Genomic DNA, 13,757 nt, shown 5'->3' on the forward strand with positions numbered 1-13,757 from the left:
TTCCTCCAAAGCTCTGTCACTTAAGGGCCAGCCTTAGGAGCCTCGTATCAGTGAATATTGAATGGAACCTCAAGGCTACTCTGAGGTGAGCTCAAACTCTTGGGGGTACCTGCTGTTTGGACTCAGTCTCCAAACAGTCCTCCAAACACAAAATGACCCAAAGGTGGGTCCCTGAGCAGCTCTCCTAGGTTGACCTTGATCGTTCCTAAGCTTCAGAGCCAACCCACCAAGAAGAAAATCATAGAGCCAGCAATCAGCATCACTCTGTGGGAGCTTTTCCAAGTGTCTTGTCTGGGCTATTTTCAGGACTATCCACTGATGGAGGGCACTGTCTCCTCGATCAGTCAGAAGGTTAAGGGCTACATAAGTTACTTTGGGATATTCTATTTCCTGGTCCAACACATTCACTCACTCATTCATTCATTCATTTATTCATTTCTTGTGGATGGATTGGAGCTGCCCAAGATCAAGATTGCTATGTTAAGTGAGGTACAGAAACTCTAATGCATGAACAAGAGGCTTTTTTGGGAGAAAAGATATAGACGTAAAAACTTATCAAATGAAGTGGGAAATAATAAGTATCTAAAGTGAATAATAATAATAAACAATAGCCAACCTTTATATAGCGCCTATTATATACCTGGCACATTGTGTGTGTATGTGTGTGTATTTGTTTTATTGTGAAAAAATACACATAACCTTTTAGCACCTTAACCATTTTTAAGTGTGCAGTTCAGTGACATTAAGTACATTCACCTTGTGGTGCAACCATCACCATTATCCATTTCCACAACTTTTTATCTTCCCAAACTGAAACTGCGCCCATTTAACAGTAATCCCTATTTCCTTCTTCCCCCGGGTCCCTTGCAAACACCTTTCTATTTCTCTATGAATTTGACGACACCAGAAACTTATATAAGTGGACTGGTACAATATTTGTCCTTTTGTGAAGTCGAAAGCACTTTGTATGTATTAACTCATTTAATCATAGTAATGGTCCTATGAGGTAAGTAAAATCATTACCCCCCTTTTACAGATGAGGAAATTAAAATAAATACAGAGAGGTTAAACAAGAAGTAGAAATTAAATATTCAGAGGGATCAGAAAAAGGAAAAGATCTCCCTTAATTTGGTTCTCCGCCCCCAGGAGTCCATGAACCAATTAAAAGGAAGCAAACAGTCCCCTTGTTGGAGGCGCCGCCACCTTGCAAGACCATCTCTGCTTCTATACAAGGGCCGCGCAACTGGAGAGGGCCCTTCTGCAGGAGAGAAGAGGGAATGTGCTGAATGAGTTAAAGTGCCCTTTGTCCACCCCCCCCCCCCGCCCCAGCACTCGGCGGGCGCAGGCTGAGCTGGTGACCCGGGCAGGACCGGAGCCAAAGGATTAATCCATCACAATGAGACGTTCTATTCTGGGCAGGCGGCGCGAGCAGATGCTGGGCGCCGGCGGAGGCAGCGTGCAGGGCTGGCGCTCACGCAGGCCGCCAGCACCCTGCGCTCCACCCCACCCTGCTCCCTAATGAGAAGAGAGGAGCTGAACCCAGACAGCCGCTCCCTGTTGACGCCTTAGGCGTTTCAAAACTAGACTGGCCGGAGCCGATGGAATGTCTTGGGTGGGCCATTCTGAGAAACCCAATTTTCTTGCTTAGGCTATGTTTAGAATCCAGAAAGTCACTTCAATTACCCCACTTTCCTTACAAATCCAATCCGCTTCTTACCTCTCACTCCACCCTCCAGCCTCCCCGCCACTCCACTTGCCCCAGAATCTTTCTGCTAAATCCACTCCCCAGTCCACTCCACGGTGGAACTGGGGGCTGGAATAAATTACCACCCCGGCCTCTCAATTAGGAAAAGGAAATCCACTCAGTCTCAGGGAATTTTAGGGGCCGGAAGTCTAATTTTTTGATGTGAAAGCAGCACTTCTGTGACCTTATGGAGATTATGGCCTGGCCGGCCAGCCCCACTCCCATAATCTTTTGACCGTTTGATCTCCTGCTTACACTGGACTGGGACAGAGCAGCCCAGTGATTCATTCCCAGATTGCACCCTCTAGCTGTGCCAGGGAGGAGAGGAAAAAGAAGGAAAAACAGTAGTTAGATACTGTGGGTTAGAAAGCCCAATTTTGCAATTGCTCTTTAAAAATCAGACTCAGTGACATTACAACACTCCTTTGGAGGTATCAGTCCCTTCCAGGGACAGAAGCATATTTTGGGTCACGGAGAAGAGCATTTTGCAGGTTATATTAGAGATTCTGCCAGAAAATTTAACAAATCTAAAGTCTGCTTGCTTGATTAATTTTTAGGGTATGTTTTCCCCCTAGCTTTATTAGGGTACAATTAACAAATACAAATTGTATCTATTTGCAGTATACAGTGTTTTGATATGTTTATACCAAAGCTTTAAATATCTGAGAGGGATGTTAGGATGACATTTAGAAGGGTAAACGATTGTCTCTATTTTTGTGGGTATTCTTGGCTTCGTTTTAAAAGTGGTTGGGATTATTTCCCCCAAATTTTTTAATTTTGTAATCCTTCTAACATGTCTGCCTAACCCAATTTCTTTTTTTTTCTTTTCTTTTCTTTTTTTTTTGAGACAGAGTTTTTCTCTTGTCTCCCAGGCTGGGGTGCAGTGGTGCAATCTCGGCTCACTGCAACCTCCACCTCCTGGGTTCAAGCAATTCTCCAGCCTCAGCTACCCGAGAAGCTGGGATTACAGTCACCTGCCACCATGCCCGGCTAATTTTTGTATTTTTAGTAGAGACAGTGTTTTGCCAAGTTGCCCAGGCTGGTCTCGAACACCTGACCTCAGGTGATCTCCCACCTCAGTCTCCCAAAGTGCTGGGATTACAGACGTGAGCCACCGTACCCAGCCCCAATTTCTACTTATTGTTTTTCTCTGCTTCTATGTAGACCATCCATTTCTCTAAGACTCAATGATATGTCCTAGAAGATCTTTGGCCAAATGTCAGACTTATATCTTACAGATCCCAGAGTAGGGAGTAAGTACTACAGCTTCTAAAATGCTCTCACTCACATGCTTCATCAATGCAAATGACAGTTCGAAAGACCAAGAGCTTTTGGATTCTACTTGGACTTCTTTTGAAAGGAGACTTGGGCTCATCCTGCTGGCCTCTGCCCTCTGCTAACCTCCCAGGACTCCTGACTGGGCCTATGCTGGATACCAACCATACAAGATGAATGTCTTGCCAAGCTGGATGTGGAAGTATATTTGGTCCTTTGAAGGTTAATGATCAATCCAGACCACAAATGGATGACAGTCAAACACTGCCTTGGGTGGGCTAATGGCTTGTGTTTCAGGACTGAGAACTCATTAACAGTCCCCCGCCGCCTTGTCTGCTCCTAGCGATTGGCCTCCACCTCCACTAACACTCAGCCCTTCCCTTGGCCCTTGGCTTTTTCTCTGCTTCAACCACAGGCTTTCTCTCTCTCTCTCTCTCTGAGCCTCGGCTTCTCTTATAGACTCTATCCCATTCTCATTCCAAGACACAGAACCCCTTCTTATCTACCTGAAGCTATAGTTGGTCATTGGTATCATGGAAAACAGGAGCTGACTATGCCTTAAAAATCATTTATTGCAGTGATTTTTAAACAATGTTTAAAGGAGCCTTGAGATTCCTTGGTGGCAAGCAACAGAGGCCACCGAATATGTGTATGTATGTGTGATGAGTACTCATAGCAGTGAATATTTGGAAAGCAGAGCCTCCAAAAGTCCCTTATGCACACATGCATACTTATCAATCAGAACAAAGGACTGGTATTTGTTTTATATATTGGGGGTAATTCATTGCTTGATTTTTTTTAAAAAAAGATTCTGTTATTTAAAGAAAATAGTTTAAATATCACAGTGATCCCATCCTGCCCCTTCATTATCTGCAGGGGCGCCCCTGAGTGTCCCCAGGTGAGATCTCCATGCCTACATTACTCTACACAGAATAACTCTCTCCTGGTTCCAGTCCCAAATAAAGAGGACAGAGCCTCATGAGTCTATCTGGGCCAAAGTGGGTTATTGCCAAGAATAACCTGGCATCAGGGGATTCAAACTCTTTGCCTTCAAGCTCTGGCATTCCAGTAAGGGCTGACTTGGAACTGTCACAGAGAAACTGGGGGACAGTAAATGCAGTCTAGCACTTGTTTGGAACTAGAGCATGGCTCAAAAATGATCACAATGAATAAACTTTGCTATCAGCTTTCTGTAAATAAATATACACACAATGCTAAATCCTTTTGCATTAGGACTTGAATTTGATTGTACATTCTTGGATACCTAAGAATCTCCCAATACTGCTCTAGCTTGTAACTTTTTTTTTCAGAAAGAGTGTTTCCTCAGATGTCTAGATGTCTGTATATAAGTGAACATAATTACTATTTTTAAGAGGAGGGTGCCTATGTTCTTCATGCTTATAATACCCCCAAGAAACTTACAGAGAACACTATGCATGAGATTAAATTGCAATCCCTAAGGGAATCCCAGACTCACTCTGGATCAACAGTAGTTGCTAATGTGTTTAATGCAGACTACGAGAATAACAATGATCATATTAATACTATTTATGGAGCACTTCTATGTACCAGATGCAATGCTATGTACTGTATATGTAATCTTCACAATATTTACATGGGACAGGTTCTCTGTTCTTATTCTGCAGAAAAGAACACTGATGCTAATATTCAAGAATAAGCATATCTAAAGTTAAAGCTTCAATGTGGCAGGAGTAGGAGTCAAGCAAAATTCATCTGACTCCAAAATGAATATTCTCAATTGCAATGCTAAGTACTGTTATGCTGCTCCTATTGGAACATGGGACACAGACCTCACTAAATGGTGGTGACCAAGGTGAGAGAATATGAGAGGACAGACAATAACCTTATCTTGAGTTAAGCTTCCCTAGGCTTCTACTCTCAATGCCAAGAGATTCCTTTCTCAACTAATAATGATGCGATGAAGTGCAGCATGAGCTCAAGAGATTTATTTTGGATCAATGAGTCCCCTGACATGTCCTACTGAAACAGTCAAATATCTAAGGCATTGCTCAGACCCAGCTGCCAGTAACCTGCCTTTGAGCCACTAAGCCATAAAAGAAAAAGATCCCAACCAACACGTGCTAGGAGACACCCAAGCCAAATCAAGCAGAAACAAGAGACTCAAGAAATGTGGATGGCATGTGAATAGCTCATATATTCAGCTGTTGTGCATTGAGTACATAATTTAGTGCTGAGCTTTGGCATTCTGATGCACCTCCTTCCCCTCCCCACACCCATCTGTCCCCATCAACCAGTTGTCTGACCAACTGCAGAGACAACTGGCTGGTCTCTCCTTCTCTCTCGCTCTCTCCCCATTTTTATATATGTATATATTTGACTCTGAATACACACTATATGTAATTTTTACTTAACTAACATGGAAGAGTAGCCTTTATGGTAGGTAACTAATGACCTCATTTCTTAGGAGATGAAAGAAGGAACAGATACACCTACCCCTCTGCACACTAACTGTCCCGGGGTCAGGGCATTATCCTAGTGGGGTCCATTTAGATGTGGTATAGATCAGTGAATCACAAATTTTAAAGTACAAAAAAAGTCCCCTTGGGATTTTATTGCAATGCAGAGTCTTATTTGGTGGGGCCTGGGATTCTGCATTTCAATCAGGCATCCAGGTAATGCCACTGGGGTTGTCTGAGGATCATACTTTGAATAGAAAAGGACGAACATAAGAAAAAGAAGATGACAGTGACCAGAGGAACATGGACGAAAAGGAGGAAAGAAAGTTCCTTAAAAAACACTCCTGACTCGCTACAAAAAAAGAGAGATTAAGAGATGGGAGAATGGGGGCTCTGCCTTATTTTGACAAAACTATGTCTAAGAGAATTGCAGGAATCTAAGCCTCAGAATTTGTAGGCTAATTCAGGAATGTCTTGATCCTATGTGGGTCATTGTCATGGAATGGCCAGAGGAATGTTTCTCAATCCTGGCTGTGTTTTAGAATCACTAGAGTGTTAAAACCATATTCATGCTATGTTTCTATCAAAAGAAAATATCTGGAAGTGGAGTCCTGGCTTCAAGTTTGTTTGTTTGTTTGGATCTCTCCAGGTGGAGAACCCCTCGTCTAACTGTTCCATGTGGCAAAGGGTATTCTGCATTTTAAAAGCCTGAATTAAAGAAGTTCATAGCTGAATCATTCTCTGGCTGGGACAGGGCTAATCCAGAAGTTTGATTCAGTGGAACAAATTGCCCTACTTAGGTGAAAAACTGAAGCTTGGATATTTTTCAATTTGGGGATTGCTGTATTCTACTTGCAGATGGTTTTCAGAGTGATACCAGGTGGACTCATGAATAGAACATTCTCAGCCCAAGTCTGGTCACAAACCAGATATAGATGTTACATGATTTATTATAAGGAATTGGCTTATCCCATTACAGAGGCTGAGAAGTCCCAAGATCTGCAGAGGGCAAGCTGGTGACCCAGGACAAATATTGGTTTTTCCAGTCCCAGCCTGAAGGCCTGAGAACCAGGAGAGCCAATGGTGTAAGTTCCAGTCCGAATCTGAGTCTAAAGGCAGGAGAAAACCAATGTCTCAGTGCAAAGAAAGGCAGAGAGAGCTTGAATCTCCCTTTCTCATCTTTTTGTTCCATTCAGGCCTCCAATGGATTGGATAAGGTCCGCTCATATTGGGGAGGGCAATCTGCTTTACTCAATCCACTGATTCAAATGTTAATCTCATCCAAAAACACCCTCGCAGACACACCCAGAATAACGTTTGACCAAATACCTGGACACCTTGTGACCCAGTGAAGATGACACATCAAATTAACTATCACATCATAGGATCTCATGGAAAGATGATTTAGAGCCAGCTCTACTACTTACTATTCATTAAGAGAGGCTGTCAGGGAAGACAGAGCAATTTGCAACTAGACTGAAATTTAAGCATTATCTCGGGCTGGGCATGGTGGCTCACGCCTGTAATCCTAGCACTTTGGGAGGGTGAGGCAGGTAGATCATCTGAGGTCAGGAGTTCAAGACCAGCCTGGCTAACATGGTGAAACCCTGTCTCTACTAAAAATACAAAAATTAGCCAGGTGTGGTGGCAGACGCCTGTAATCCCAGCTACTTGGGAGGCTGAGGCAGAAGAATCACTGGAACCTGGGAGGTGGAGAGTGCAGTGAGCCGAGATCAAGCCATTGCACTCCAGCCTGAGGACAGAGCGAGACTCCATCTCAACATAATAATAATTATTATTATTACCTTAAACACTATCTTTAAATATCTTCCAACAGCAATGTTATCAAATAACGTGTGTATGTATATATTCCACCAGCCCCTTAATTTGGTCCAGCTTCTAGAATATCATTATAAAACCATGAGCCCTCTGCTGTAGTGAGAATCCCTGGATGTTGTTCCTGCCCTGTTTATTCTTTCATATTCCCCTCCCCATTCTCCATCTAAATCCTACCAGTCCTCTAAGGCCAGCTTATATTTCACCTTCTTCGTAACACATGTGCTACTAGTCACTCCAGCTCATGATAATCTCTGTTTCTTTGGGCTTCATGGCTCTTACTACTGTTATAAGGCTTTCTTGCCACTTTATTACATACTATCTGATATTTCTTGTATTGAGGCTGGAAGTCAGAACAATTAAAAACTGGAACATTGGTGTCATATATACCTAGGTTCAAATCTGACTTTGCTATTTATTAGTTATATAGCCCTGGGAGGGTATTTACCTTCTCTGACTTTCAAGTGCATTAGTAGAATAAGAATGACAATGCACAAGTCAAACTCATAGAAGCAGAGCGTAGAATGGTGGTTGCCAAGGGCCAATGAGTGGGGAAAATGGGGAGATGTTGGCCCAAGGGTTAAAAAAAAAAAAAGAATGCGTCTGGGTGTGGTGGCTCACACCTGTAATCCCAGCACTTTGGGAGGCCAAGGTAGGCAGATCATGAGGTCAGGAGTTGGAGACCAGCCTGGCCAACATAGTGAAACCCTCTCTACTAAAAATACAAAAATTAGCCGGGTATGGTGGTGCACACCTCTAGTCCCAGCTACACAGGAGGCTGAGGCAGGAGAATCACTTGAACCTAGGAGGCGCAGGTTGCAGTGAGCCAAGATCGTGCCACTGCACTCCAGCCTGGGGAACAGAGAGAGACACTGTCTCAAAAAAAAAAAAAGAAAAAGAAAGAATGCCTGGCTTGCAGAGAAATAGTAAAGGTTAAATGAATGAGAATAATGAGAGAATAACTGTATTTCATCTGTGACTCACATGGTCCTATTTCAGAGTTGTGTGATGAACAATGAACACAGTCCAGTAAGAAAATATTAACTTCAAAATAACTCAAGTTTTTAACTTACCTTTCTTTATACCTGGAAGGAATATATAGTTCACAACAAACCTTTTATAATCCTCTTTCTTTTTCCATACACTTCCCTTATGCCCCACAACTGCTCAGAACTTTCTTTTCTTGCCTTCCAAGTAACTTCTCTCCCAGCCCCAGAAGGCAAGAATCTTGCGTTCTTATCCCTACCCCTTTCTTTTCCCCTCTCAAGGTCTCTATGTCTGGCCATTCCTGCAAATTTGCAGAACAATACAGTCAGATCTGGCAAAGGCTAATACTCTCCCACACACACTCAGAGGTTGAGAAAGAGGGAAAGACCAACAAACAGAGGAAAAAGACCACACATGTGTTATTTTTGTTCTGCCATATGTGTAAAGAATTTAGAGGCACCTGGCACATAGTACAAGCCCCTCAAAGGGCAGCTACTACTATTTTATTACTATATCGTATTACAGAATGAAATCAGAATTACATTTCTTTTCTTTACAAATATGTAGTCTGCTCACAGACTTACTGGACTGTGCCGATTGTTCATCATACAACTCTGAAATAGGACCATGTGAATCGCAGATAAAATGCAGTTTTGCTCTCACTGCAAGCTTTTTTAAGGAAAGAACTTTAGAACTTTTTCTTATACTTTTATACAACTCTCTACCAGTGCTGCCCAATATAACTTACTGCAATGATGGAAATGGTCTACCATCTTTGCTGTCCAATATGGTAGCCACCAGCTACATGTGACTATTGAGTAGTTGAAACATAGCTAGTGCAAGTCAGAAACTGATTTTTCTATTTTATATAATGTATTTAATTTACATGACAAGTTCCATGTGGCCAGTGACTACCATATTGGACACAGCAGACAAAGGTACCTTGCACAAAGTAGATGCTCAGTAACATTTATTGACTGGATGGATGAATTAGTGATTAAATGAACCAAATTATAAATAATACAGTGCTGATATTTTTACAAGTAGATAATTTTGCAAGCTACTTCTCTGTTGCTATACACTCTGGAGTAGTTTTCTTGCCACAGGAAAGACTAGCAAATGCTGAAACACATAAGCAACATTCTATTTTTAGGTCTCATTTTTTCTTTGCTCAGTATAAATTCATTCTGACTCTGAGGTCAGCCCCTTTTGTTTTTCAAAAATAAAAAAAAATGTAATGTACATGTTGTGTTTAATGGTGAGTTCTCGTTATGACATTTCCCTTCAGGAATGAAAGAGGAAGAGATCAGTTATTGTCAATGCAGCCACAAGCAAATTCAGCCATCTTCCTCAACACTGAAGAGAAATGTCAAAAAAGATTAATCATGCATTAAAGACGCATGGACATGTTATATCTCTCATATATTGAAGGACTGTGACATATTTAAACATTTGTAGACCATTATTAGATAATAAGAGCTTGGCAGCCTCTAAATAACGTTTATAGTAGTAGCTCTATGATCTCACCCATCTTAAAACAAAGACGGAAATATTTCATTGATAATTCATCTGAATGGTAGTTTGGTTCTTTGGGAGTTTTTTATTTTGTGTGTTTTTGTTTTGTTTTCATCTTGTTTTTGACACAGGGTCTCACTCTGTCACACAGGCTGGAGTGCAGTGACACAATCATGGCTCACTGCAGCCTCAACCTCTCAACCTACTGGGGCTCAAGAGATCCTCCCACGTCAGTCTCTAGAGTTGCTGGGACTACAGGTGCACATTACCATGCCTGGCTAATTTTTGTGGGGTTTTTGTGTGTGTGTTTTTTTTTATAGAGATGTGGTCTCACTCTGTTGCCCAGGCTGGTCTTGAACTCCTGGGCTCAAGCGATCCTCTCCCCTCAGCTTCCTAAAGTGCTGGGATTGCAAGTGTGAGCTGCCACAACTGACTGGTAGTTGTTTTTAAGAATGCTGACCCTTTAAAAAAAATCTTTGTATTGTTGAATTTGCTTCTTCATCATTTAGTGTTTTTAAAACGTCACATTTGAACAAGGCCTTATTGTTTTAGATCCATGTCTTCTTCCTAGAGTGACAGTTAAAAAAACAAGATAGAGGAAGTCATAAAGAGATGATGAAGGACAGGGAGAGAGGAGGAACGTGATCTTCAACCTGAATAGAGGAGTTTGGGATCTTAAACACAGTGTAACCCCACAACATTTTACTAAGTGAAATGGACACATATTATGTGATTTCACTTAAATGAAATATCTAGAATGGGCAAATTCATAGGCAGAAAGCAGATTGGAGGTTACCAGGGACCTAGAGTAAATGGCAAATGAGGAGTTACTACTCCATGAGTAGAGTTTCTGTTTAGAGTGATTACAAAGTTTTGCAAATAGATAATGGTGATGGCTGCACAGTATTGTGAATGTAGTTAATGCCACTGAATTGTACACTTAAAAATGGCTTAGATGGCAAATTTTGTGTTATATATATTTATGGTAATTTTCAAACACAGAATTGGTAGTTCAGTAGATCTCACATGAAAGAAAAATAACACTTGGAGAGGCCAACAGCCAAGTTTAACCCCAAGTATTTAGCCCAGCAAAGTAATGATAAAAACCTCTAACATCAGGACTTTGATTTTGACAACTAATGTCCTGTAAGGAAATAAGTCTGTCCTCCAAACAACTGCAATGAAATAATAACCAACGGCATAAACTGGAGGCAGAGGAAGGGATGGTAATAGGGTTTGAGGAAGGCTACTGGAGGGCACACTTCACCTTTGGGTGATACACTGGAGTACAACTATATCCTCCCACGAACATCTCATGGGGCCACCGGCAGAAAAAGAATGATGGGCTGGAGTCAGTGAACTGACTTAATGTGGCATTTCTTGAGTGGTGTGTGGCTGTACTATGATATTAGTACTAGAAAGGACTCTCAGCGCCATTTTTTCATCTCTTTAACTTGAAGCAGGACCACAATCAAGCCATCTCAAGCTGAGAACTTACACTTTTTCCGAAGACTTCCAAAGTGATCCCGGGGGTATCTATTTTTTATTTTGAGACAGGGTTCTTGCTATGTTGTCCGGGCTCGAGTGCTGTGGTGTGATCATGGCTCACTGCAGCCTCAGCCTCTTGGGTTCAATTGATCCTCCCACCTCAGCCTCCTGAGAAGCTAGAATTACCAGCATGCGTCACCACCCTTAGCTAATTTTTGTATTTTTTGTAGAGATGGGGTTTCACCATGTTGCCCAGGCTGGTCTTGAACTCCTGGGTTCAAGCAATCTGCCCACCTCGACCTCCCAAAGTCCTGGGAATCCAGGCGTGAGCACTGCTCCCGGCCCCATGGATGTCTAATCCACATCTCCTAGATGGGAATTTACTCTCCTCCTTTTGTTCTGACTAATTAGAAGTAGACAGGAAGCCACAATCAATTTGTTGCTAACCTCTTAAGTTTCCCATCTGTCTTTCACAACCCAGATCCTGGAAATGGCTAAGGTGCTTCAGGACGAGGGTAACCCATAGTGCATTGCATTTCCTGTAAGTAGCAACCAGGGTTCAGGCAGGAAAGCAGAGCCAAAATGATTATTACAGGAGTAACGAATTGAATATAGGAATGAGATGATACACAAATTTGGGAGGACCTGAGTAAAGTCTGGAAGCAAGAGTCAGAGGAGCAGAGCAAGTGTCACCAACCGTGCATGGATGGACATGTCAGGACTTGTAGGGAAATCTGAGAAGCCAGGCACGTCTAGCTGGCAGAGTAAGGCCATAAAGGAGGAGCTGATGGAGAGGTCTAAGGGAGGCCGTGCTGCCTCCCTGCCACTATGTGGGCCACGGCCAAAAGCTGTGGAGGGCCTGGCGCCATTGTTGGTCAGCAAGGCCACAGGCAGAGAAAATGACCCAGAAGCAGAGCAGAAGAATGCAAAGACCAGCTGGAACCTGCCAGACATCTCTGATTCTACCCATTACCATAATGACCGCACAGCCTTCTATGAGTAAGAGCTGCTGCTTTCCTTCTGTCTTCCAAATCTCACACCAATTTCTCCTTTGACCGAATCTAACTCTGAACCATGTTGGTACCAGCGTAACCAAGTTGAAATGGCATAACATAGCACAGTGTATCACCTTTCTATGTCTTTCAATTAATGTCTAGATTTAAGCTTAAAGGCATTGAAAATGTTCCTTAAATCTAAATGAAAATAGTTCTTATTCATCCTATTCTTACCCTATTTGGGTGAATAAAATATTGAAAACTGACTCTTAAAAATCATGGGTATTTCACTTTTTCCCTGCTGACACTGTTCATTTACTTCATGGCAATTGATGGTAGAAAAAGATAGCACTTTGTTACTCCCCATCACATCAGGCTGAGTTACAAGACTGTCATTCCACATTTTCAGTTCAATTGTAAAGCATTATCTATCAACAAATTGAGCAGTTTCTAAATTGGCTGTCTTTACATAATGCCTAACATCCAGAAGTATTGTTTGCAGTGATAAAAGCTTGGAAACAACCAAAATATCCATCATTAGGAGAGTGGTTAAATAAATTATGGAACAAACATGCAGTGGAGTACTATACAGCCTTTGGGAAAAAATAAGGCACAACCCTGATTACGGAAACTTCACAGTGTTTTTTGTTAAGCGAAAAAGGCAATGTGAAAACAGTGTATGTGGTACCATTAAACAAAGGGGCGCGTAAAATACATAGATGCATATATGCACATATTGTGTGTATTCCCTCCAGGGAAAGTGAGTGGGAATGGAGGGGGAGAAAGAATGTATAATCTTTGAATTTTGTGCCATATGTTTGTGTTGCTTACTAGATAAGTGGGTGGATAGATAGATAGATAGATGATAGATAGATAGATAGATGATAGATAGACGATAGATAATTGATAGTTGGATAGATAGATAGATAGATAGATAGATAGATAGATAGATAGATGATAGATAGATAGATAGATAGACCCACATATTAACAATGGTCTACTCTCTGATATAGTATGACCTGGCTTATTTTACCTTTAAATCCTCTGCTTTCGGCATCAAGAATGCCCAGGAGAAAAAAAAATGTTATCATAATCTGTATCATAATTAGAAAACCAAATTTACATATTGGGTCAATGTACCAAAGTGCACATATAGAAAGACATGGAAAAAATGTATTACTTCCTCTGTTCTGCTTCATTTCATTCCTCAATATAACCAATATTTTTGTATATGTTTGTACATTTTGTCACATGAATTTAGAGATGATGCAAATTACCTGTTATAAGTGATTCTTCTTTGAGACACCACCTATTCTGAACTACGGAAAAAACTTCCTTGCTCTCATCACCAGAACCAGTTATTATGGGGGGAGAATATTGTACTAATCTAGGTCCGTTAAGAGGCTTATTCTGCCCCCTCTACTTTTCCTGGACCACCTGCTACAGGAGGATTGGATTTGCTGTTTCTCCTTTGTAATT

At 41.7% G+C, this 13,757-nt stretch overlaps 1 long non-coding RNA gene across 1 annotated transcript, besides 1 other annotated feature; it reads left to right on the forward strand.

Annotated features, from left to right (window-relative positions):
- Window positions 1,043-1,544: an enhancer, noted in NCBI's record as "H3K4me1 hESC enhancer chr15:35013869-35014370 (GRCh37/hg19 assembly coordinates)". NCBI's record gives its function as "activates a minimal SCP1, AML or CMV promoter by ChIP-STARR-seq in naive H9 embryonic stem cells {active_cell/tissue: H9 hESC(naive)}" and the evidence as "EXISTENCE:reporter gene assay evidence [ECO:0000049][PMID:30033119]".
- LOC124903463 (uncharacterized) lies at window positions 1,438-4,238 on the forward strand. The gene is made up of 2 exons (XR_007064579.1): window positions 1,438-1,612; window positions 2,909-4,238. It is a non-coding gene; the product is annotated as an uncharacterized LOC124903463 (long non-coding RNA).
- The last annotated feature ends 9,519 nt before the right edge of the window (window positions 4,239-13,757 follow it).

Source organism: Homo sapiens, chromosome 15, assembly GCF_000001405.40.
Source record: "Homo sapiens chromosome 15, GRCh38.p14 Primary Assembly".
In the NCBI taxonomy this organism is placed as follows: Eukaryota; Metazoa; Chordata; class Mammalia; order Primates; family Hominidae; genus Homo; species Homo sapiens.